Source organism: Homo sapiens, chromosome 10 (assembly GCF_000001405.40).
Source record: "Homo sapiens chromosome 10, GRCh38.p14 Primary Assembly".
NCBI lineage: Eukaryota > Metazoa > Chordata > Mammalia > Primates > Hominidae > Homo > Homo sapiens.
In genome coordinates, this window is record NC_000010.11 from 14,301,252 (window position 1) to 14,328,027 (window position 26,776).

At 41.9% G+C, this 26,776-nt stretch overlaps 1 protein-coding gene across 2 annotated transcripts in view, besides 1 other annotated feature; it reads right to left on the minus strand.

Moving 5' to 3' along the window:
• FRMD4A (FERM domain containing 4A) overlaps nucleotides 1-26,776 on the minus strand; it is a 687,219-nt gene that overhangs the window by 657,546 nt on the left and 2,897 nt on the right. The window lies entirely within an intron of this gene.
• Nucleotides 17,639-17,808: an enhancer, noted in NCBI's record as "experimental_11398 CRE fragment used in MPRA reporter constructs". NCBI's record gives its function as "activates a minimal promoter by MPRAs in K562 erythroleukemia cells, with activity observed for both the introgressed and non-introgressed 10:14360974 variant alleles {active_cell/tissue: K562}" and the evidence as "EXISTENCE:reporter gene assay evidence [ECO:0000049][PMID:34662402]".

The following is a 26,776-nucleotide window of genomic DNA, read 5'->3' on the forward strand; positions in this document are numbered from 1 at the left end:
TATCGTTCCCCTGGAATAAACTCTAACCATGGGCATAATAGACATTACTGAGTTCTGTGATTCCTTCTACAAACTAATGAACCTGAAGGTGGTTTTGAGAACCCCTCAAACTTGCAATTGTTGTCAGAAGTGGGATGGTCTCCTGGGGGACTGTCCCCTTAAACTCTCACAGGTGCTGATAGAGGAAACGTCTCCTAGACAGAAGGCAGGGTGTGAGACAGATGCCTCTATTTTACTTTTGACATTACACCTGTTTTCTCTTAATAGCAATAATTGTTTTCTGAATATACCCCAAACTCATTCTCTTTTATTCAATTGACTAAATATTGGCCATTACAAGAAACATTCTGCATCTAATGATTTCTGTTGGATTTTTTTTCATTTGCATTATCTTCTTTCTATAATCTCAAACTCTATTCATAAAACTATATTCCATATATAGTTCTTCTTTTTCTATAAGAAAACATGTTTTCCAATGTCATGGCAGGCTTCAGAAATGCTAAATTCACAAAGGACCAGAAAAGATTCATGGGCAGTAAAATTTGACACTGCAATTCAAGAAGGGGAAATTGAGCTTGTGATTTTTTTCAAAGGTAAATAGAAATTGCCTGAAGAGTAGGCTGTATAACCCTGGATGGTTGGGTGCAGGTTGGAGGAATTCAGTGAGCAGGAGAGTTGAGCGGTCCAGGGACACCAGATAGGAAGGGACTGAGAAAGCAAAGTCATTCCCAGGGAGTTTTTCAGACAAATCTGGGGAAAGAAAAGTCTGAAACCATCACCTCAAGGTCCAAATAGCTATGGAATAAATCCCATCGTAATGGAAAGGGTTTGATTTTTGTATAGTGCATTGGATGGTCATTCTTCTGAAGTCCCTTTGTGGATTTCTCATTTTCTCCAACCCTGTCCTTAAATGCCAGTTTCCCTCCAGGGTTCCTTTCTCTATCCAAATGCCTGAAGCCAACTCCAAGACATGACAAATCTTGACCACTAGAGGCTGATCTAGTTGGTTTGGGGAAAAAATACAAGTTGTAACTGTTAAGAACCAAACTTAAATATCAAGCAGAGCCAAGCTGGACTCAGCAAAACAGATACACAGTAAAACATGTCGCCTCCATATAATGTATTTATTCAGGTCTTCTCACTTTGTATTAAAGGAACTTTGTTCAAAAATAGCATCATGGTTAAAAGTGTGATCTCTGGAGTCAGACTCCAGCTTCCAACTTTGCCACGAACCAGCTATGCAACTTTGAGCAAGTTACTAAACTTCTCTTCACTTCAGCTTCCTTCAATACACAATGGAGATAACAGGTTTTTATGAGGATTAAATCAGCTAACACACACGGACTTCTTAGAATAATGCCTAGCACATAGTAATTTCACTAAAGATAGAGAATGGTAGGCTGAAGGCACCATTTTCTATACAGTCAGAGGCTGGAGTCATTCTAGTGTCCAAACATACAGCACAACAGTTTAAATCCTAATTCCAAAAGTTAATACTAAGATATCTCATTAGATGGGCAGGAACTGTATACTTGTGCATCCTGACTGCTGATGGTCAGGTGGTCACCAGCCAAGAACATTGTCCACAGGGACAGAACTTGGTTAGGACTAAGCCCTATATCAAGGCAGAGGTCCAGAAAAGGGGGACTCTCAAAAGCAACATTAGACAGCAGGACTCTTCAGAAAAAAATGACTTTGATCTTGGAGGAGCAGTGGGTAGGGAAACAAGACATTGAAAAGATGGATATCTCAGGCAGGAATCCTATTCTTCAAACAATGTCAATGCAAGATGCCAAAACTTGCCCTATAGCAGCAGATCCTGGCCTCAGCTGCATGGTAGAACTCCCTAGAGAGCTTTTGAAAAACGCCGATGCTCACATTCCATTTCAAGGCAACCCAATCAGAACTTGAGTATTGGCAATTTTTAGAAAGCCTCCTCGTACCCCTTAACCCCACAGTTCTAGGGTAACCAGGGTTGAGAACCACAGCTCTGGAGTCTACCCAACTGCTTCTCAAATTTTAACGTGCACAGAATCACCAGGGGTCCTTGCTGAAATGCAGACTCTGATTCAATGGGTCGGGGTGAGACCCAAGATTCTGCATTTCCCACAAGCTCCCTGGTGATGCCACTGCTGCTAGTCAGTGGGCTGTGGGCGCTAGGGCCTGGCAGCACAGGCAGTGTTTGGGGAGAAGCCCAAAGTGGGTGTGTAATAGTTATAATTTGGCTACCAAGTCCTTGGATTGGTGAGTGTGTCCAATCCTAAGCCCTACTAGAAAAGACGGATGGAAAATCCATCACGCCTTTCTCATGCCCTGGGGTAGGCAGAAGATTACATTTATGGGCAGTCAGTGAATTCAGCTGTGCAGGACTCGGGAAGCAGGAGACAGGGGCTGACACAGGCAGCAATTGTAGCCAGGATGAAGGAGTCTAAGACTTCAAAGTAAAAGGAGGTAGAGGAGTTAGGGGAGTCTGGTATATGGCAGCAGTAGCTTTTTCCCCCTCTTCATTCCCCCTTACTTCTCACCCTTGGCAATCATCATTCTGATTTCTGTCTCTATGGTTTATTATTATCATGGTTTATTATTCTCTATAATAATACATTCTAGTTCCTCTTATAAGTAGAACCATATGCTATTTGTCCTTTTGTGTCTGGCTTATTTCCCTAAGCATAATGTTGTTAAGGTTCATCCATGTTGTAGCATATGTAAGAGTTGTCTTTCTTTTTAAGGTTGAATAATATTCCATTTTACATATACAGCATACCTTTTTCATCCATTTATCCGCTGATAGACACTTGAGTTGCTTCTGCCTTTTGGCCACTATGAATAATGCTGCTGTGAACATGGGTATACAAATATCTCAACATCCTGCTTTCAATTCTGCTGGATATATACCCAGAAGTGGAATTGCTGGATCGTATGGTAATTCTATTTTTAAATTTTTGAGGAACTGCCATATCGTTTTCCAAACAGCAGCTGCACCATGCTACATTCTCACCAACAGTGCGCAAGAGCTCCAGCTTCCTTAGATCCTTGCCAATACCTGCTATTTTCTGTGGATTCGTGTTATCATTGCCATCCTGATGGGTGTGAAGTGACATCTCATTTTGGCTTTGATTTGCATTTCCCTAATGATGAGTGATGTTGAGAGCAGCCGTTTTGGTGGAAATGGAAACATCTCACTCTTGGCTTTATAGGCAGCGTCTCCTGATTTCTTGCTTCATCATACGCTTGTTCATGTTACCTGCCATGTTACCTGTCAGCATGAATGCTAGTCTTAGTCCCAATCTAGGTTAAAGAATGCTTGGATCGAGGAGGTGCCATTTCTCTCCTGTGGCCTGGGAGCACGCTGAGTCTGGCCAAGCTCATGGTGACTTCTCTGTTCATTGACTCTGTGGAAGGGTCTGTCTATGTCCCACCAGATCTCCTCCTCAATCATGCTACCACTTTAAAACTGTTTGCCTGAGGGCTCTGGGGCCAGGCAGTGGGAGAACTTTCTTTCCCCACAGAGCATATTACAAATGCCAAATCAGAAGTGCTGGAGAATGAATGGCCCCAGAACTCACTCCACCAGTGGTGATGGGAAGATGGTGGATAAATATCCCGGCTGCATCTCCCTTGAGCTGGGATAACTCTGAAGTGTGTTCTAGGCTGTTTCCCACAGTGGTCTGAATGTGTGGCAGATGCTCACAGTGGAAACGGGTTTGATAAAGCTTCCCTTTTTTGTTTCCCTGCATTGCTTCCCCACTTCCCTACAAGTGTTGGCTGGGATCGCTGCCTTAATAAACAACCTGAGCTTGAATCCTTACCTTAGGGTCCGCTTCTGGGGGAAACCAACTCAATACAGATAATATTATGCCTCTTTCAGCTACCAATACCTATTACCAGCATGTGTCCAGTCTTGGTCAGTGTGAAAAGCAGTTAGTGAAAGATTTTTAGGTCCACAGAAATGCTCAGGGGAACCTGTGCTTTTTCCTTGAGCTATTTACCAGGTTCATTATTCACATTTCCCCAAAATACACGTGTGCCTAAGGGAGATTGCTGTGTCCCATATCCTCACCTCTAGTTACAAAATACACTAAGGTAGCATACTGCACACATGAAATTGCTGAACAAAAAAATGAATAGATTATATATCTAAGAAATATGGTTTGTACTCTCTCCCATTAAATATATTTGTATCCCCAGTATAACAATGTAACATATATTGGAATCTACAAAGTTCTCATGCCAAGGAAACATCCCTGAAGAGTTTAACGCTGGTAATAGAATAATATACTCGCTAATCAAGGCAATCTTTAAGGCCAGATGGTGTCTCTGTTGGACTCTTCTTGGTGGTTTTCTATACCTTCATAAACCTGGTTCTTGACTGTTCTACAGAGAGTGAGACTCTATAAAAATTCTCTTATAAACATATATGCACACATATGTTCATTGCAGCACTATTCACAATAGCAAAGACATGAAATCAACCTAAATGCCCGTCAATGACAGACTGGATAAAGAAAATGTGATACATACACACCAGGGAATACTATGCTGCCATAAAAAAGAAAGAGATCGTATCCTTTGCGAGGACATGGATGGAGCTAGAAGTCATTATCCTCAGCAAATGGAGGAACAGAAAATCAAATACTGCATATTCTCACTTATAAGTGGGAGCTGAATTATGAGAACACATGGACACATAGGGAGAAACAAAACACATTGGGACCTATTTGGCGGATGGGCAGTGGGAGAAGGGAGAGCATCAGGAAGAATAGCTCATGGATGCTAAGGCTTAATACCTAGGTGATGGGATGATGTGTGCAGCAAAGCACCACGGCACACATTTATATAACAAATAGGCACATCCTGCACATGCACCCCTGAACTTTTAAAATAAAGTACAAGTTAGAAATTTAAAGTGGGGAAATCTTTTTTAAAAAAGAAAGAAATTCTCTGTTCACACAACTGTTAGATGAGAAACATAAAAGTTTTTCCTGTAGGAAATTATATACATGTTTTAAAGCAGAAGAGTAAAAATTCATATTAGCCAAGTCCAAAATAGAAAAGAGGAAGGAACGGTGAAACGCCTGTTCCCAACACAGAGAGGTCATCTGAACTATCATCGTGGGAAAGTAAAAGTTTACCCGAGAGAAGCCCACAGATGCTCCAAAATGGAGCCAGAAATAGTAACCAGATAATGCTTATAATACAGCAAACAGCTGAGCAAACTGAGATGACACAGAATCTTTTTAATGCTCGTTTCAAGGTTATAGACATTATAATAGCAGGTCCTGAGCAACTCTGAATTTCAATATATGAAAAACACAGGCCCTCTCTACCAGGCCTCTGCTCATTTTCTCCATGGAAAAGAGTTTTGGGAGTCTGTTCTGATATTTTATGAAGTTCATTGTTTGATCCTATGCCCCTGTAAGGGGAATGCACTAGTTACAAAAAAGAAGAAAGGTGGAGATAATGACTCAGTGGACATTCAGTGGAGGTTTCTCTGTTTAAGGGGTAATGGTTGAAAATTTTATTTTAAATATCTCCAGCTCTTGAAAAGGTAAAATGATTTGTCCAGGATTTTAAAGCCATGATTTTACTTTATATATTCGAAACTCTGAAACTAAAGCAATTTTAGTGTGTATGGGGCGGGATGGGGAGAGAAGGCAGAGGAACTAAGGACAGGTACAACATTTAGCAAACTCATAATCCTATAAAGAAAACATTTTTAGCTTCCAATAAGACCACACTCCTACTCCTAACATAGGAACCAGGGACATGCAAAACATATGAAATGCAACTACATTGATGACAGGCAAATGCTTCTGCTGTTTACAAATCCATTCTCATGTATTAGCCATTAATATTGCTTATTAATTTTCTTTGATTCATGGTTTCTGACTTCTGATACTTTTCTTTGAGAAAACATTTGCATTCATTTGTCACTAGAAGCAAAATATGCATTCGCAAAGCTACTCATTTAGAACCCAAGAATGAATTCGAGAAAAGTATACAGAGAAGAAAATCGGCACTGCAGGAAGGCTCAGGGCCTTGCGCAAAGCCCTGTTAGCCAATCAGGGAGAATGTCCACAAGTGAGAACTCACTCCCCTCAAAAATTAGCCATCAAAAGAAAAAGAGGATGAGCGCATGACAGATCTTATTTGTCCTGGCTTGAGGTTGTCATTAGTGACATTCACACCACATGTTTGAAATCTATCTTGAAGAGCAAATGCTAAGCCTCTGTTTATTCTCTTTTTAATTCCACACCATCCAGAGCCAGAACTACAAGCCCAAACTCTGTCCCTTTGATTGGAGCATCTCTCTCACCTGCTACACGTGTTCAGCTAACTACGGAAGGAAACCTACAGGCAAGAAACAAAGTGGTCCTTCTAGCTTGACACCTTGTGTGATAGGAATAGTCCAACTCCATTGGGGGGCTTTCAGAAATAAGGAGAAGAGATTGGGATACCCCACAGACAGTTTTTGTCCAGTTACATTTATATGCTTTCTCAAGCATCCCCTCTCACCGAGCTCCACGAACGATAAGGGAATCAGTCTTAAAAGAGCCGCGAGTTACAGGCACACCTGAGAGAAAGAGATGTTTGTATTCACCTTAGAACTGACTCTAGCCCTGGGTCCTAGTTCTTTACTGGGGTCCTTACTTCAATTTCTCACTCTCTACCTTCTCATTCTTTTCCTCTCTCCACTGGATTCATTATGAGATGAGTTGTTGAAGGCTGGTGGCAAAATCTGTGCGGCAAATATGCTAAAGTACATAGATAGAGTTTCTCCCTGCTGAATTGACAACTACAATAAAGGGAAACACTAATTTTCAGGGTTTGGAAGCTCAGTCTTTCAAACAAAGGAGGACTTGCTCAATGAAGTTGCATTTCTAATCCTTTAGCTAGAGTCAAATGAAGCCAGTTTTGAAGAGCATTTCAAACTCTATTGATGACCAAATTGCACTATTGATTGATACCAACTGTAAACTCGTGGCTCCTCATCCACATCCCTTTAATTGGTCTTGAATGACACTCTTTTAAATGACTTTGGGAAGTGAAGGGGAAGAAATGTGCCAAAGATAATTTGCACAAAGAAAATTTACATCTCGTCTTTGTTTCATTTTTTCTGGCATGGATACTGACTACCAATTTATTATTATTTTTTTTTCTTGAGGGAAGTAGTGAGAATACGAACAGCAGTCTGGATTTTTCTTGTTCTGTTTCCATAATTAGAAAAATAGACTAAAATTATGCAGGAGCAGATTGAGGGAAAAATACAACCTGCTTTCCTATGATTTAGTGAACTCTTTTTTGAATTCAAAGATATCCCCTCCTTCCCCTGGCCCCTATACATGTCTTTTTATCTCTGAGTAGTTACTGTACCTCTTTTAAGTTTATTCTCCAGTTTAATGACAAGAGCATTCTTCAAAAAGCTTTAAGCCATGAAGTGTGTTCATAATCACATCACTATTTGTTTGAAAACAATGTCCTGATACCCTGCTGTCTTCCCAGTAGGCCCAGGCAATACAAACCAGTCCCCCATAATCACATGGTACTTACAAAATCAGGTTGGGCTTGAAGAAACTGGTCAAATTGTTTTCACATAAGTTGAAAACGTGACCTACCAAATGACCCATTGGTTAGTTATCCTACAAGATGCTGCTAATACGGGGAACGACTATGAAAATTCATTCAGCCCATGCATTTTTAAATGTACCTGGAGAGTTATTCAAAGATTCAGTGGTATTTCCACTTAGACACCTGCCTTTCCTTCCGTCTCCGTTTTTGTTGAAAAAATAAAAAGCACTTTATGTAAGCCTAGATTCAAACCACAATCGGCTCACAGATAAAGATGTTAGGGGACAGAGAATTTCTCAACATGCAATCACTTTCAACAACATCGCCTGTTAAAAATCGTACATGTAGACTGGGCATGGTGGCTCACGTCTGTAATCACAGCTACGCAGGAGACCAAGGTAAGAGGATCACTTGAGCTCAGGAATTTAAGACTAGCTTGGACAACATAGTGAGACCTCATCTCTAAAAAAATTTTTTAAATTAGCTGGGTGTAATGGCTCACATCTCTAATCCCAGCTACTCAGGTGGCTGAGGCGGGACAATCGCTTGAGCCAAGGAGGTCGAGGCTGCAGTGAGCTGTCATCATGCCACTGCACTCCAGCCTGGGCCACAGAGGGAGACCTTGTCACAAAAACAAAAACAAAACAAAACAAACAACAACAACAACAAAACCGTATAGAGTCACCAAAGACTCAGAGAATTAGAACTTCAGAGGTTAAGGCTCTGAAACATGGATTTTATATAAACTTCCAAGGCAGTTCTGGTTCATTTAAGTTCTGAGAACCCCCGAGGTAGCCACCAGTCATTAAGGCTTCACTGAGCAGCATTCGAACCCCAGCCTCCAGGCCCCCCTCCTGCCTCCATATCTAACAGTGGGTCCAGTGTTTTCACCCCTCAGGCTCCGTATGCCTCCCTGAAGACTTGCAGTCATTTCCTAACTGATCAGCCCACGACCATTTCCTCTTCCCAACGTAGTCTTCTCATCACGTAACTCCCTGCTCAAGAATCTGTGGTGAATCCTCGTTTCCTTCCTATTTCAAAACCTATTCTTCAGCTTTAAATGTAAAGGCTGAAAGAAAATCCCTTCTGGCCTGAGTCCCCCACCGTCCCCTGCACCCTCCCCGCATTCCCTCCTTCTGAACCCCCAGCAAGACTGGCCGTTCTTCCAGCACCTGTGATGTCCTTCGCCCTCGTGCATCTCAGTGCTGGGGTGCTGCTCTCCCAGCTTCTCTAACCCTGTGAGTTGAACCCCAATGCATCTTCGAGGATCCTACCTCTCATCGAGGATGTGGCCCTGCCTCCCCAGCTGGCTGGGATCTGCCTCGGCTTTGGGCCTCTGCAGCATTTTGCTCAGCCCTTCCCTTGAGCTCTCGCCTTATTGGGTTTTGTTGTTCATTTCTTTACGCACTCAATTTGGCCTTCACTGGCCTTCAACTTGCCCGCATCCTAACTCCCTGAATGAAGGAGCTCTCCTGGTTTGCTTTTCACTCCCCTCAGGCAACTAATGATACAGGAGCTAGAAAGAAATTATTTAGGCAGACAGTGAGGGTCAAAGAGTCCTCGGCAGAATTTCCCTTTTAACAAAAAGCAGCCCCAGAGTAATTTCTTTTCTAACAAAGAGCAGCCTGAAAAATTGAGCTGCAAACATAGATAAGCAAGCTGAAAGCTTGCACGGGTGAATGCTGGCCGCTGTGCCAATAGGAAAAAGGCTACCTGGAAGCCAGGTATGTTCAACATGGAGGCTCCATCCTCCCTTTTCTTTGTCACCACGTGTACAGTAAAGAAACAGGCACAGGGCCGGCCAGGTAGCAAAAGCATCTGCATAATAAACGATTAGGGTGGGGGCTACCAGAAATTCGAGCGCTATGCAAAGGGCACACCTAGCCCGAACCAGTTTTTTGCGCCCTATGCAAATGGCACACCTTGTCCAACCAATCTTATGTGCCCTATGTAAATCAGACACTGCCTCCTAAAGCTCAGCTATAGAATCCCTTGCATTTCACCATGGACCAGAAACCCATTCAGGACCCCTCTCTCTGCAGGAGAGAGCTCTTCTCTTTTCTTTCACTGTTAAACTTTCTGCTCTTAAGCTCGCTCCTTGTGTGTCCCCATCTTAGTTTTCTGTGGCTTTGAGACAACAAATCTTGGGTAATTTCCCCAGCTGAAGGATGCCGCTTCACTAGCATGGGGTTCAAACACAGCAGACCCTCAATGAGAGCTTACTAGATTGTTTCATAGACTCTTCTGTCACCTTCTTTACATGTCCCCAAGGTGGTGTTTCCTGGCTTGCATCCCTCTGTGTGTCTGTGGCCACCAGTGCGCCAGCAACAGAGCCCTTTGTGGTCCCACACTTGGAATCCCACACAAGCCTCCCCACCTGTCTCCTGAATTTCCACCTCCTCCTCCCCCACCATCGCAGTCCCTAATTGAAGAAGAGCTTCTTGAACATCTCCCTGAATCCTGGAAAACAGCTATCTCGACCTTTGTAGAACTGACCAATTTAGATAAATTCACAAAGCTTTGGAACATAAGAAGGGTCACATTTTCTAAGAAAGTTTCAATGCCAATTCAACCGGCTGAGTGTGAGATCCCAGAACATGAGCCATCTGGTTCTATAGGACCATGCTGCATGCACTACACATCCTCTCTCCCTGCAAATGCCCTTTCCAGTATGTCCAATTCATTTTATATTATTTCTTATATTTTTCCTACCAAGCGTGGCCTTCTGCTACATGGTACCCCCCACCCTCCCACCCACACTCATTTCTGCCATCTCTCACACTCTCTCTCCCCTCTCCATCTTTGCTCACCCTCCAGCTCATGCCTTACTCAGTTCCAGGTGGTCATGGCAGCCACGTCTTGCTCTCCAGGGCTGTTCCATCTTCTCCCTCCTGCCCCACAAAATCAAGCCAACCCCCATCTGTCTCTCAGAGGTTCCTGACGACTCCTATGCAAAGTGATTTCTTCCTTCTTTGTATTTCCAAGCATGAATAAACTATGTAGTTGAGCACTTACATATTCCATTTCATCTGGCCTTTTGTTACTCAAGTTTTAGAGAGTATCTTGATTTTTCAACCCAGAGCATAAGGTCATTGAAGTGAGGGACCATGTCTTAAAATTTTTCTTATATGGAACTCCCTGGTGTTAAACAATTACCAGGGCTCAGCATGTATTCATAGATGAAATTTCAATCTTAGATATCTGTTCAGTAAAATGTGCAAGGTTTCTTTGTGCTTTAGGTTTAAATTAATTTGATCTTTGAAAAGCGTCATAAACCATTTCCTCAGTGAAAGTAAGAAAGAGCGGGGAGCATTCTGAGAATAGGCATGAAATTTGGGTATGATTCTTGGGATACAAAATTAAAAGGCCATCTGCCTTTGAGAGGCAGCAGATGTGTAATTGATATTCACTGCTCATTTGCCACTTGAATTCTGTAGACATTTAATGCTGTAATTGTTTACACAGTAAGATTCTTAACACCCTTCAGAGAATAGCTCACTTTTCCTGTAGTCTCCGTACTTCTGATCAGCCTATTAGAATCAGTTCTCATTTTCCTGGAGCTTCAAAAGTAGAATTAAAAACTAATTCGCATGATATCCCTTTGAAGATGATAATTTTATAATATCTACAAAAATTTAAAATGATATACCTTTGATCCAGCATCATCTATTTAGGAATCTATCCTACATTATACACAAGCCATATGCACAAAGATATATGCACATAAATGTTCATTGCAGGATAGTTTATAATTATAAAATATTAAAAATAGCCTAAATGTCTATCAATGAGGGATTGATTAAATAAATTATGAGTCATTCATACAATATAATACTAGGAAGCACTTACACAGCATGAGGTAGCAAAACTCCATTCTATAAAAAAAATACAAAAAATTAGCCAGGTGTGGTGGTGGGCACCTGCAGTCCCAGCTAATCAGGAGGCTGAGGTGGAAGGATCACCTGAGCCTGAGAGATGGAGGCTGCAGTGAGCTGCAAGTACGCCACTGCACTCTAGCTTGGGCAACAGAGTGAGACCCTGTCACAAAAAAAGAAAATAAATAAAAAAGAATGAGTTAACACTATTGGAATTGACAAGGGAAGATGTTGCATATGTGCAGATAATTTCCAAAAGGATACACAAGAAACTAAAGTATTAAGAATCTGGAGTAGTAAGGAAACCTGGTTTTAATGTATAACCCTTTGTATTTTTTTTAAACTTGTAAACGTATTTTTATTTTTAAAAACTAAGTCCAGGAGTGGTGGCTCACACCTGTAATCCCAATATTTTGGGAGGCTGACATGGTAGAACCACTTGAGCCCAGGAGTTCCTGACCAGCTTGGGCAATATAGTGAGACCTCATTTCTACCAAAAAAAAAAAATTTTTTTTTAATTAACCAGGTGTGGTGGTACATGTCTGTATTCCCAGCTACTCGGGAGGCTGAGGTGGGAGGATCACTTGACCCCAGGATGTTGAGGCTGCAGTGAGCTATGATTGCGCCTCTGCAATCCACCTTGGGTAACAGAGCAAGACCCTGTCTCAGAAATACATAAATAAATAAAAACTAATTTAAAAAATTAATTTGCAAAAAATGATATTAGCAGTTAAAAGGATTTGGAACCAATATTGGAATGGTTAATTATCTACGAAGAGTTTCAGAAACATCTTTGTCATATTGCCTCTTTGTGTACACAATCATAACTGAAATTATAATGCTTACGAAAGAGACAATGTTTTTTGTTTTTCTATTTTCTTTTTGATCATTAGATTCCAGCTATTTGGTAACTATTATCTCTCAGATTTGGACAGGAATCTGATTGGTGTCAGCTGTGTAAAGAGAGATGCAACAGGGACAGATGTTTGTATGAACAATTCTTTCACGTAGATCACTTTCATGGAATGATGACTATATTTTCAATATTTTGAAATCCCCCTAAGAAACTCATGTAACAAATAAAAGAAAGCATCTATCTCATCTATTCTATTCACAGACCTATCTATATCCACACTTATCTAGAAGATTCTTTTGGTTGTCTGCACAGCAGCCATTACTCTGTATATTCTTCCCTACAGGAAGAGCCTAAAAATGCAGCTACTCTTTTCCCCAGCCTCCATGATAACTGCCTTGTGTATTTTTCAGGATTGTTAGTTGCAGACAACAAAGTCCACCCTAATTAGGTTAAGCAGAAAGGGATTTACTACTGGATATTAGACAGTTTAAGAACATATGGGAAAACCAGATAGCCAAGCACATTTGCCAGAAAGCCAGAAGAAATGCCCAACCACAGCTCAAGACTGTTACAGCAAAGATGCCACTATTGTCATTCAGCCACCACCTCTGACACTAAAGAGCAGACACTGGCACTTCCACAGGAACTGGTCCAAAATAACCTAACACTTTTGCCACCTCGCATGCAAGAAAATCTGATCCACAACTGTTCCTTCGAGCTACTCACTCTCACCTCACCTCTCCATGGCTGGCACCAGTGAGCTGGCATGGTGGAAGTCAGGCCACGTACAGGACCCTAGCTGTAAGGAAGGCAAGAAAATGTATCTTTTAAGATCTCCAGCCTCTATAGTTTAGGAAGGCATCCTGGTGAGGGGTTATGGGAGGAGGCTATGTGAGCTAACCTGCCCTATTTTGGCCAGTGAAAAATAAGGGGAAGTGTTCTGGGGAGCTTCTGGGAGAGATTTTCCTCCCTGATAAAAAGAAACACAAGGAGAGCTCTCTTTACCACTCCTCCTCTTTCTGCTTTTGGACACAGGTGCAAGGGATACGATGCTTAGAGCTGCTGCAGCCATCTTGGAACCATGAGGGGAAGCACTGTCAACATCTACACCCACTCATATTTTTCATGTTGCAATCTCTCTGAGCTTCCTTCCTTGAGTTTATAGCAATATTCACCGTTTTCCCATCTCTAAAATCTCTCCCTGGTTTCGTCCGACTCTTCAGGCTACCATCCAATGTCTTTCCTCCCCATCGCCTACAAATTTATCCTCTCTATGCTTACTCATTCACCTCCTATCTCCTCCTCATTCACTTGCAGCCTGGGTCTGAGTATATTATACTCAAGAAGCATCTCACTATAAAGTCACCATGCCATGTGATTGGCGAATCTTATATATAGTTTTTTTTTTAATTTTTACTTTCCTTTATCTCTCTGCTGTACCTAACTCTTCATCACTTCTTTTTTGTCTTTCTTGAAAGTTTCTACTCTCTTTATACGACAAATTATATTCTCTTGGAATTCTAGTTACCTTTCTGACTGTTCCTTTCTTTGCCTTTTTTACGGACTCTCCTTCCACTCCCTCCCCTTTCAATGCCTCATCCATGGATCCCGGCTCTTCTCTGTCTATTCTCCCCAGGTGGTTTTCATCCTTTCTAACCATCACCCGAATATTGATGACCCTGAATATGTATGTCCAGCCCATAATCTTCTCAAGCTTCACATACATACCTCTAACCACAGCTACATACCTCCACTAGAATGTCTCATGGATCCTTGAAATGAATGTGTCCAAAAAAAAGATATCATTAGTCCTTAGAAACCTATTTCTTCTGTGATCTCCACCTTCTTCCTCACCCAACATAAAGATCTGAGGTCATCCTTGCCTCCTCCCTCTGCCTCATGTATGCGAGTAAAAGCTAATCAACTGCTGATTTCACCTAATCATTTCTTACCTGTGTTCCTACAGCAATTTTCTACATATCACTGGCAGAGTGATCCAGTCAAAATGCAAATCTGATTATTTTGTTCTCTTGCCTAAAGTTTTTTCTAATGCTTTCCATTGTTTACAAGATATGGATCAAGCTCCTCAGCAGAGTATTGTGCTTCATCTTCTGATTTTTCCTCCATTTTTGCTTCAGAACCCCTAAATTCCATGACTTTTCAAAAGGTATCATGCAACCATATGATCCTCTACTCTTCCTGATACTTTAAATTCTGCCTTAAACTATTCCCTTATTGCATCACCTGGTCTGAACCTTCAAGTTCAGATACTAGCTCCTCTCACATGCCCTTACTCATGTGACAGATGTCCACTGAACACTTACTATGTGCCAGACACTGAGCTAGGAGCTAAAGAATCAATGGTGGATGACATATAGTCCCTGTTCTCAAGAAAGTTATAGTCCACATACTGATCTCCAATTCTACCAGGTGGGTTGGGTGCCCTGCTCTGTGCTCTAGTCATAGACACTGTTGATTGCCTATGCAGCAACCACATCCACCTTCTTTTTCCCTTGTATGAGACCATGGGAATCTACCCCATTCCCAGCTTTAGAAGTAGATATTGATATATCTGATCCAAGCATAGTGATTCCATGCTTCTTGGCTAGTGTCCAGTTGAGGATCCCAGGTGTTGTGGTTTGAATATTTATTCCCTCCAAAACTCATGTTAACATTTAATTGTCATTGTAACAATATTAAGAGGTAGAGTTTTCAAGAGAGGATTAGGTCATAAAGATTCCACCTTCATGGGTGGAATTGTGCTGTTATAAAAGGGTGAGTTCAGCCCCCTCTTGCTCTTTCTTGCCCCTCTGCCTTTGCTGTGGGATGATGTAGCAAGAAGGGCCTCCCCAGATGCCCATTCCTCGATCTTGGATTTCTCTGTCCAGTGGAACTGTGAAAAAATAGATTTATGTTCATTATAAATTTCCCAGTCTCTAGTATTTTGTGATAGCAGCAAAAAAAAAAAAAAAAAAGAAGAAGAAGAAGAAGAAACCAGGCTTAAGCCAATCAGTGCTTGAGTCTTTTTCCTGGGGAGGGAAAGTGACCTGAGTTGGTCCTCTCAGAAGGAAAGAAAGAATTTATCATTCCCATTTTGAGGAGAGATGTTTCTTCTTTCCCCCAAGCTTGAACAAGGAAGCATATTGAACAGTTGCTGCAGGCAGCAATCTGGTGACCACATGAGGAATATCAGGCTGAAGACAAAGCTTACAGATAAGAGCAGAGCCAAAAGATCTAGTGGTAACAGGGGATGGGTGGAACCAGAGCCACAGCCTAGGAACAACTCCATCCTGGACTTAATATGTGAACTAAAGAAGTGTCCTGTTTTAAAGCCAGTTTAAGCAGCTTTTAATTTAGTTCTTAATGAGAGTCAATATGCACCATCCACTGGAAGTTCCCATGTGAAACTCAAGAATCCACACTCTCTCCCATTCTCGCTTTTCCTGGCATTAGTTCAAGTCCACTTTGTCGCTCAATTGTATGACTTTAATATCTCCTTGTTCAGATTCCTTTGCCTCAGATTCACCTCTTCTTTCAATTTATTCTCCATATCATTTCCAGCATGATATTTCTACATCTGCACTCTGATCATGTCCTTCCCCACTTAAAATCATTGATGACTATTTGTAGACTTCAAGATAAAGTTCAAACTCCTTGCCATTTATTCTGAAGACATTTCGTGTCTGCCCCCAGCCAGGATCTTGACCTCTCTTTCTCTATTCCTTTTTGCCTTCCTCATACCCAAATGTCACATAGTTGCTGGGACGTGTGACTCTCCCATTGCATTCATGTATGCTGTTCCCTGTACCTGGAACTACTGTCCACTACCACTTACCTCACCCACCTATAATCCTCCAGAACCTTCAGCTCTACTTTAGAAGTCTCTGCACGGTGTTCCTGTGCTTTATAGCATTTTGACTATTTCTCTGCCATCACATTTATCTCACTGTGTTGCAACTGTTTGTTTATTGGCCTTTCCAACTAAACTCTAAACTTCTTGAGAGCAGGGACTAGGTGGTATTTACACACATATCCACATATCCTCAGCACATACCACAATATCTCTGACTGAGACCCTCTTAAAATCTTTTTACAAAGAGAAGGAATGGAAAGAGAAGAGAAGAGAATAGGAAGGGAACAGGAAGGGAGGGAAGAGGAGGGGAGAGGGAAGGAGAAAGGAGAGGAGAAGACAAGACAAGAGACGGAAAAAAAAAAAAAAAAGGAAGAAAGCCAGTTCTTTCTTCTTGGGAAAAAAGAAGGCCAAAGGAGTCCAAAAAATAGTCACAGATTTTACTCTGAACAGGCCAAATAACTAACTGTCCTGTCTAGATACAGAGTCTGAGTTTTAATGCATTTTCTTGCTAGAAAATTCAAAGTATATAAAAGGATGTACACTCAAAGGACCTCCGCTTCAAATTTTCCCTGCCGTTGGTGCTTCATGCCCATGGGATGTGTATTAAAGAGGCTACCTCACTCAGTAATTGTAGAGAATAGAAGGAAAACAAATAGTTGTTGATACAGGTAATGTTCATGTTTCCCCATTGTAGCAGCATATGGCACTAGTTGTAATGGCCTAACGTAAAGCATTCCTGAACAATATTAATGACCAACTAGGTTAATGACCAAAGACTCAGCCTCAGGCCCCAAACATAGTCTCCTGTTCATTAATCCCTAGGAAATGACCTCAGCCATGTTCATTATGGCTCAATTACATTCACACTCCCTCATGAGAAAAGAAAGCATTGCAGTCCTGATACCAAGCTATATCCCCCCCCACCTTTTTTTTTTTACCTTGACACATGGGCAATAAAGACACAAAACAAGTTATTAGTCCCAAGGCCAAGCATGTAAAGGAAAAAAACATTATTGCCTTTTCAGCTCCCAATCATCAATAAGAACTGAATTTGGGACCTCAGAGGTCACAGAGCAGGCTGACCAGGATTTACACATCCTCTGAGTGTTCTTTGAAGGTGTGACATGCACTAAGCACATGTTAGCCCCAGATGTTCAGAGTTTGGATGAAAATCGGAAAACTCAAAAGGCAGCTCTTTGCTAGTATGCAAAAAAAAAAAAAAAAATGACTCCTTCAGATATCAACCTATCACTCATTCAATCAATATTTATACAATGTTTCCTCTGAGTAAAGTCCCATAGACAGTTTGTGAGTAATTCAGAAAAGAGCATCAAGGAACATAGAATCAAGTTACATAGAATGAACATACCCTGTGGTGGCTTGAAACATGTCCTGAACCACATCGACATGTCCTTCATCAAGAGGCAGTCTATATCCTCTCACCTTGGATCTAGCCTTAATGACTTGTTTGTAACCAAGGAAATGCAACAGGAGCAAGTCTGCATGACTTCTGAGGCTAGGTTATGAGCGATCATATGGCTCTGCCTGGCTAGCTCAGATACTCAGTTTTGGAGCCTGGGTCACTCTGCAAATCCACCTACCTTGAAGCAGCCATATTTTGAGGTGGCCCACATCATGTGGGGAGACTCTAACGTTATGGTTCACAGAACCAGCTGTGGTCTAGCTAACAATAGCATCTACCCATACATATGAGTGAAGACTTATCTCCAGAAGATTCCAAGACCAGTTGTTGAATCACCCCAGCCATCAGCTCTTCCCAGCTGAAGCTCCAGTGTGGAACAGAGACAAGCCATTCCCACTGTACTCTGTTGGAACTCCTGACCCATAACATTTATGAGTGTAACAAAATACTGAATTTTGTACAAAAATTACAAAGTGTGGGATAGTTTGTTTTACAGCAGTAGTAACTGAATATCTCTCTCTCCTCTCTCTCTCTCTCTCTCACACACACACACACACACATGATAAATACATACAGCCACCTTGTGAGGTTTAGTAATAGTTTGCATGCATATGTTCCTAGTTCGGCCATGCCTACAGAAATCTTTGAGGAAGTGCCGTCATCTAATGGAACTGCATTTAACCTGCATCTATTAATAGCAAAAATCACCAAGACTTCTTCAATGGGGCCATGCGGCACATTCAATGTGAAGAAAATTAATTCCAAAGTCGAGGGAACATTGATTGGGTACAAACACTGTCTTGCATCACAAGGTGATTACACTCCATTAGAATGCACCTCTCTCAGGCTTGGCCTCCTGTTATTTCCTCTCTATAATCTCTTCAGGATTTCTGAGCTTCAGTGCCACTGCCAGATCTGCCTCCCATACCAAATCTAATCCAGGACCTAACCCAGCCTTTACCTCCAACTGCCCACCCTCCACCTCTACTGGCAAATCTCATTATTTCCTCAGCACCTTCACCTCTGTAGTCCTCAGTCAATAGAAAGCTATTCTTATTCAAATGGTATTTCCCACTCCAGAGTGGCTTGTATGTGTCATGGTCCCTGCACCTCCAGGAGTCACAGAGTTGTCCCAGCTGGCTCCTCCCTGTGCGTGTCCCCTGTCATCCATCTCCCATCCAATCCTGATGGCTCTCCCTTCAGAATGTTTCAGAATTCATTCCCCTTCCTCTTTTCTTACTGTCAGCTCCGTGCCACCTCTTTACCTCCCGCCCAAATTCATGCAATTGCCTCTAAACTGGCCCTCTCCCTCCAATGTCCCCAGCACACCCTGCCTTCCACCACTAGATTAAACACCCCACTTCCCATGCCTGCCCATTAAGTCAGTCCAATCCAAGAACCTGGAGAGGCTTCAGTGCCTGCAGCTCCAATCCAGATGCCCCCAAGAGCATTTGCAATGTCTTGCCTTATTCTTTAGCTAGCAGTCCATCTCTTCCATGACACAGACCCTTTAGCAAAATATCAATCCCTCCTTTCATACTCCCACATTTGCCCTCCCCAACCCCACCCTTGGCGGTTTAACATTTCCTCCTGAATTTCCTGATGATTTTGTTCCCTCCACTGGGAAGCTACTCCTTCCCTCTCTTCCCCAGCCAACATGATATACACTTTTCAAAATAGCTTAACGCCATTTTCTACAAACCATGTGGACTAGCGTTCTAGATCTCACACACCTGTCCCTGCCCCTGCCTCTGATTTCTTCAAATGCCTTGTTAGTAAATACCATACCTTCCATGTAGGGCCCTTTCTCAACATGCAGTGTGACCTAAGCATTTTCAGTACTTCTTATTTCTCTAATGAGATATAAGTTCCCAGGCAAGGGCCATGCACTATACTCACCAAAATTCCTCCCAAAGCCTGGTGTGTGCTAAGCTGCCAGGAAGCAGCCAATCAATACCTTCATTACCAAATATATCGAGAAGAGTGCATGAAGCTGGAGTCTGCTGAACTCCTTCCCACCCCGGGGCCATGGCCCAGGTTGGAATGCCCCATCCATGACTTTTCACCCTTGCCTGCTTCTTGCAGCTCACCCTTCAGTTCAAATGCAACCTCTTCTAAGAAGGCGTCCTCAGTCACTCCTCTAAAGCTGTCTTCCAAGCACTGTCTCCAAATAACCATTTTTAATTCTCTATAGGGCACTCATAGTTCTTCTATTTATTTTCAATGTGTTATTTTTATTTTTATTTTTGTCTTTTCCCAGGAGAGTGTAAGCTTGATGACAACAGAAAGACTTTCTGTCTGGTTCACCACTGTATCCCTCCTATTAAAACAGTGTCCAGAAGAGAGTATGTGATGGGTTAAATGAATGGATGAATGAATGAAACAAATGAATAAAGTATAGAGAAATACTCTATACTTATGAGGCACTCACAATCTATTAAGAAAAACAGATACAAAAGTCAAATATCATCTAGTGATAAGTAAAATTTTACATATATATGAATTATATATATGAATGAATATATATATAATTCATATATGTATATATGAAATAAAGGAGAAAGAGAGGAAGGTAGAATAGCACTCCAAAGAATAGAAAGTGTACATTCAGAAGTGCACAGGCTTAATCCTGCATATCATTTGTCAGGGAAGGAAATGTCCAACACTGTGAGAGTATGAATTTTGAGGGGTGGAGGAAGGGACCCTGGGACATGAGGCTGGGCAGGTAGGCAGAGACCAGATCTGTAAGTGAGTAATGTGGTATATTAAAAAGCTAGAGCCTTATCCTGTGTAAAATCAGGTACAACTGGAGAATTTTAGGCAGAGAAATTAGACCTTTATTTCATAACTAACACTCTAGAAAAAGTACAGAAGACAGGCAACAGTGATAAGAGACTAGAAACAGGAAGACCAGGTAAGAGGCCCTGCAGGTAGCCCAGGTGATATGGTTTGCATCTGTGTCCCTGCCCAAATCTCAAGTCTGAATTGGAATCCCCAGTTTTGGGGAAGGGGCCTGGTGGGAGGTGATTGTATCATGGGGGCGGACTTCTCCCTTGCTGTTCTTGTGACAGTGAGTGAGTTCTCATGAGAGCTGGTTGTTTCAAAGTGTGTAGCACTTCCCCCTTTGCTCCCTCTTCCTCCTGCTCCCACCATGCAAGATGTGCCTCCTTCCTCTTCGTCTTCCACCATGATTGTAAGTTTCCTGAGGCTTCTCCAGCCAGGCTTCCTATACAGCCTGCGAAACTGTGAGTCAATTAAACCTCTTTTCTTTATAAATTACCCATTCTCAGGTACTTCTTTATAGCAATGCAAGAATGAACTACTACACTAGGTATGAGAGAGTAGAGGCCTGGACTAAGGCAGGGGACGTGAGTACATAGGAGGGGCCAGATTCAAGAGAAACTGAGGCAGCAGAAGCAGCATGGCCCATGACTAGCTGAACCAGGTAGATGACAGAAAGCAAGGACTCCAAGGCTAATCCCAGGATAACAAGCACAAAGGCACCACCACCAACTAAGGTTGGGGAGAAGACCATAAATTCTACATTTGAGCTGGGCTGAGGTGTTCTGAGTTTCACATACCTGTGGAACAAGCAGGAGAATAAATCTGATAAAGCATTTGGACTTGCAGTTACTAGGAGCTTGGGGCAAGGCCTGAGTGAAAGACATGATTTGGGAGCCATTAGCGTACAGATGACAGGGAAAACCATGGGTGTGCATGATGTACTTGGAAAGATGAATTGGATCTACCATTCAGGAAATTGCTTCTTCAGGTCCAGACTGTGAGGCTAAGATTTCAATATCCAGGATTATAAAAAGCACTCATCACAATGCAACAGAAGTTGCAGGCCAGTGTTTCCTTGACATTGGAATTCACTCTCCCCACTTGATACGAACCACATGGTCTTGGTAGAGCATGTTTCCGGGACCTTTGATTACTACCAGGCTAAATACCGTATGTTCCATTAAGCTTCATATTCTGGCATAGAAGCCAATGAGAAACTGCTACTTGCACCAGTAATGTATGTTCTCCAAACCACTATTATACTTTGCAAAGCTGCTGTACAATTAATTTTTAGCAGAGATGCACTCATAGCTGCCCCATCATGTGTAAAATGCACGCATTTTGCCTTTGCCAGAGAGAACATATTGCAGCCCATATTTTAGTCATCTCCCTTCAAAGGGTAAGAAAATTTTGTGAGTTATTCAAGATAGGAATGCAAATTTAAATTTGCTCATAACTAGAATGGCTCACATGGCCACAGGAACATCTGTTTTTCTAAAAGCGTTAGCTGATTGTCCAGAGGTGGTCACTCATTGTCCAGAGACTGGGATGGAGAAAGACAGAACTGGGCAACTTGTTTCTTAGATGGATTTTGTCTCATGTAAGAGTTGCATGAGATGAATTCAGGTAGACAATCATTTCATATCTTTTTAAGACAAAGGAAGGGACTACTAGTATATACTGTGCTATTTGCTTTGGGCCAAAAATAGCACTACGAACTTTACATGCATATCTGGTTGAATTATCCCAAATCTTACATGGTAGCTATTATTATCTTATTTTACAGACGGTGAGATTTGTTCAAACTAGCATAAAATATTTAGGCAATTGTGCTTCTCCATTTATATTTATTTTGAGGAAAATTGAAGCCATGATTTGGGATTCACTGATGCTTTACCTCCCTGACTAGTTTTGCAGATTACCTATCATGGTATACAAGATGCACAGACAACTGTAATGGGTATCTATCCTTTTTGCCCTTCCTAGCATCCCCTTCTGATAAAATAGCATCCTCCCTCCTGATAATACAGCTCTTCCTTTTTTGGAACCTGCTTTTCCCACCCCATGTAATTCAGACAGAGTTATCAGCCAGTTGATTACTTCCTTCCTTCCTTTCAGTAGGTCTAGACACATTAGCCAGCCTGATTAGTCAGAAATCTCCATCTCTGTACCCAGTAATTGGCCCGCGAAGAGCCTGTTATTCAAGAGATCCAAAGACAGCTTGTAAGAGATGACCATGAAAGAGAGTCCTGCTCATTTACCTACATTCACTAACTCTAAGAACAAGTAACCCTAGAGCTGCTGGGAGAAGAATCTGCCAGAAAATGAAGTCCACACAAAGAAAAGCAGAGCCAAGACATGGCAGAGCCAGAGAAACAGGGTTCAGATGCCACCATGCAAAGTCCTTGATCCAGCTTCTCCTGGAGCTCTTTTATTCCTGAGACTCCCTGGTCACATCAGTCAGTAAGTTTCCCTTTCTGCCAATGCTAGCAGTTTGAGTTAGTCTCTGTCGATTAGACTAACAGAAACAGGTCCAGCAGAAAATGAAATAAAAATATATTTAGCAAAAAATCATCTGAGTTAGTTTTACAGTTATGGATTTCAAATTTCACCATTTGAAACAGATAAATTTGTACACTAAATAGTAACTAAAAATATTAATAGCAAGATCTCAAAGATACCCATTGGGAAATTTTACCTTGGGTGCAATAATTTAAGCTTAAGAAGGGTTTTTGCCACTGACTTGGAGGTAACAATGACATGACCATTTCTCAGGGACTTTTTGACAATTATCTTACTTATGAATAAACCAGAAAGATAGATGATACTAAATATTAGTTTCGCCCTTAGACCCAAATATCTAGGACCTCTCCCCTGGGCCCCATGCCTGGATGGCCCCATTCTGTATACAGTGGTTTAGGTGGCTTCACTGTATTACTATGTAATTATTATTCTCCAAATTTCCATAAAAGTTGTCAATATCACTTTTTTTCAAACATATGCATGAACCATCATGAAAACTTGAGTACTATCTTAATGCTATTTATTTATTTATTTATTTAGAGATGGAGTCCCGCTCTGTCACCCAAGCTGGAGTGCAGTGGCGTGCGCCGATCTCGGCTCACGGCAACCTCTGCCTCCTTGGTTCAAGTGATTCTCCTGCCTCAGCCTCCCAAGCAGGTGGGACTACAGGTGCACCCCACCACGCCTTGCTAATTTTTGTATTTTTAGTAGAGATGGGGTTTCACCATGTTGGCCAAGCTAGTCTCAAACACCTGACCTCAGGTGATCTGCCTGCCTCAGCTTCCCAAAGTGCTGGGATTACAGGCATGAGCCACCGCACCTGGCCTGTATCTAAATTTTATCGCAAATTATCTGAGTCATCTTGGGCAAGCCCTTTGACTTCTCTGGACCCCAACTTCACCATATAATAGGAAGATGTCCTGCCTAACCTGCCTGGAGTGTTGAGGACATCCGGTGGGACAACATCTGCAAACGCACTTTGAAAAACATAGAGATTATTAATGTAAGAGCAAGAGTCCTTAAGACAAAACTCAATTTTATTCTATGCTTTTTGACAGTTGGGATCTGCGGAAAAGCCATAGGCTTATTACAAATTCTGAATCTCTTTTCAGGATCTAATCTGAATCTATCAGATTAGACCTCTCACAGGTCAAATGTAGAGAAGGATTAGATTATAGTAATAGAACTAGGACCTTGATCACATCTCCAACTGGCCTTTCTGATCTTGCAACCCTTTGTCACCTACAGGAAATCTGCCCAAACCAGTCTACTCCCCGTCTCCCAAACAAGATCCAGACTTTGTTGTATTCAACCACTCCCCTCACCTCAAATCTGCTCTCTTAACTCATCCATCACTCAACATCTTGCTTGAACTTCAAGAACAAGTTCATCCACTCTGACAACCAGCGCCCCCTAGGGCTCACTTGGTGATGAGTTAGGCACTGTTTTGTTATAGTTCTTATGTGATTCTCTGAAGACGTCCTGTAAATTTCTCATTGTTACAGTTCCTGCGTATCTCCAACCTGTCTTGACAATTAGACTGTAAGTATGCTAAAGCCAGTCACTGCCTTGTACTCTTCTTGCACAAAGTAGATACTCAGCAAATATTTGTTGGTTAGTTAAAAAGGAAATTGTCCAAAGGAGGAAAATGGCTTAGAAAAGAATTTATAAAGAAATGAAATGAGGGAGATAAACTCATAGAACAGCAGGTTACCCATTGAAATCTATTAAACATAGACAAGGGAGCTGGTCTATTCAAAAGAAGCCCAGAAATCTGAAATCAAATATTTAGAATGGAAAGAAACTTCAGGATAATCCAATTGACATTCTTCATTCATTGTGGTTAATCACCCACTAACTTCTCTGACTTGTGAATTGAGTTTTTATACATTTAATTTTTTATGTTATAAAATATGACTCTCAGTAATTTCCTAGAAACAGAGTCTGAGAGAATAGAACCTTGAAAAAATGGCAGCTATTTCATCGATATAAAAAAATATTTTTTCTTGCTAGAGTCAAGCCAGACATCTTGAGCCAGACTTGTGGTATCCCTTTTTTATTTTACACTTCAATATGGAAAAGAACAGATGATTAACAGAAAGACAGGATTCCTCACCTGGAAACACAGAAAATGCTGACTGGTTCAGAGGGGAGCTAACTTCAGGAGCGAATCCAAAGTGTTAGAAGGTCCTAGAAGTCAAATTGTTGAGCTTTGATATGCTGTCAGAGAAAGCACTGGCTTGGGACTCAGAGGACCGAGATTTTGAGAACTTGCTTCATCAGTTTCACTTATGTGACCATTGACAGTTTCCCAAATTCTAATTATCAGATTTTTTTTGGTCTTAAAAATAGGGTCATGGATGGAATTAAATGAGATAATGTATTTAAAGACACTTCATTTATAGAAAAGCTTAATTTGCATTATTTATTATCCAGTTAATTTCCATTAAAAACTATTTTAATCTAGCTGTCCTGAAGGTGAGCCTTTATAATCTAAGAACCGAAATGGCATCATAACACCCTTGAAGCCCCTTGGTTATTCATCCTTATCCTGGCTCTAAAGATAAACTAATCCTCGGCTCTAGCATGTTCCAGCCCTTGCAGCTTTCCCTGAACTCACACGCCCTCAACAAATGACACGTAGCCAAGAGCTTCCCGCTCTACAATTAGTCACATCAATCTGAAGCCTCCTCACGGGTTGGTGAACACAGCAGTATCTTCTTTCGCTGCCTGAGATTCTTGCAAAGATGGGAGAGGCAGCTTTTCAACAGCCTAAAAGGCCATCTCCACCACCAGAATGTGTCTTCTCTCCAAGTCCCCCCTTCCGTGGTCATATGAGTGGCTCTGTCCTGTGTGGAGAGGCATCACTGCCCTCTGTGAGCTGTCCGTTGAAAGAATCAGTGAGGTCCTCCCACCTCAAGATGGTCCAGGCATGCTTACCACCTGGGACCCCTCCCAGCTGACCGCAACCCAGCCCTAGCTTGAAAAGGCCTCTGAGACACTGTTCAAAAGTCATTGGCTTTTGTCCAATGGACCAACTTAGGTTCCTGTGGGGTAGACTCCTGATGGCAGAGTATGAATGAACACTAATGATCATCCGTGTCAGCTAATAATATGAAACATATCTGCCCTAGCATAAAAGCCAGAGTGGGAACACACTCCACCATTTTCATAGCAATACTGCTCATGTGCAAGGTTGGAAATAGAGACATAACGCTAAATAAAGCCCTCGAATTGGCTATCCTGGAACTTCATCTGTACACTGTTTCTTAGAGATCTTAAATTGTGTTTAACAGAATGGAAGGGAACCTAGACATCAGAGAGCACTCTCAGTTAGCAAATGGCATCACCAAGGCAGAGAAAGGAAGGGACATTCCCAGGATCACTCAATGAGTGGCAAGGCTAGAATGGAGCACAGGGCTGTCCAACCCTCCAGACTCTGTGGCCGCTTCTGTAACCAATTAAACATGCTCTGCCCTGAAGCATTTAGCATCTAAGCTGAATGTAACCTCTGGGTGTCTCCTTATCCAAAAGCAAGGGGTGTGGCCAGATCATCTCCCCACCTACCCCTTAGCCCCGATGACTCCATAGCACAAAATCAGAACTGCAATCCACCAACCTGGTATCAGCCTCCCACAGACTGTGTGTTTATGAGCTCTGGCTCTTGCTGTTATGCCAGGCTACTTTCCTCAGTGAGCAGACACGCGATAAATACTGACAACTGATTGGCTGATGAATGAGCTCATAAATAATAATGTTTACAGCTTCCTTCCTGAACTCACAGCCAAAGCAACTCCGCTAAATGGCCTCTTTTCCTCCTTTCTTTCCTCCTCGGCTTGCTTATAAATTTTAAGATGCATCATGCAAGATGTCAGGGAAGCAATTACTTTGGG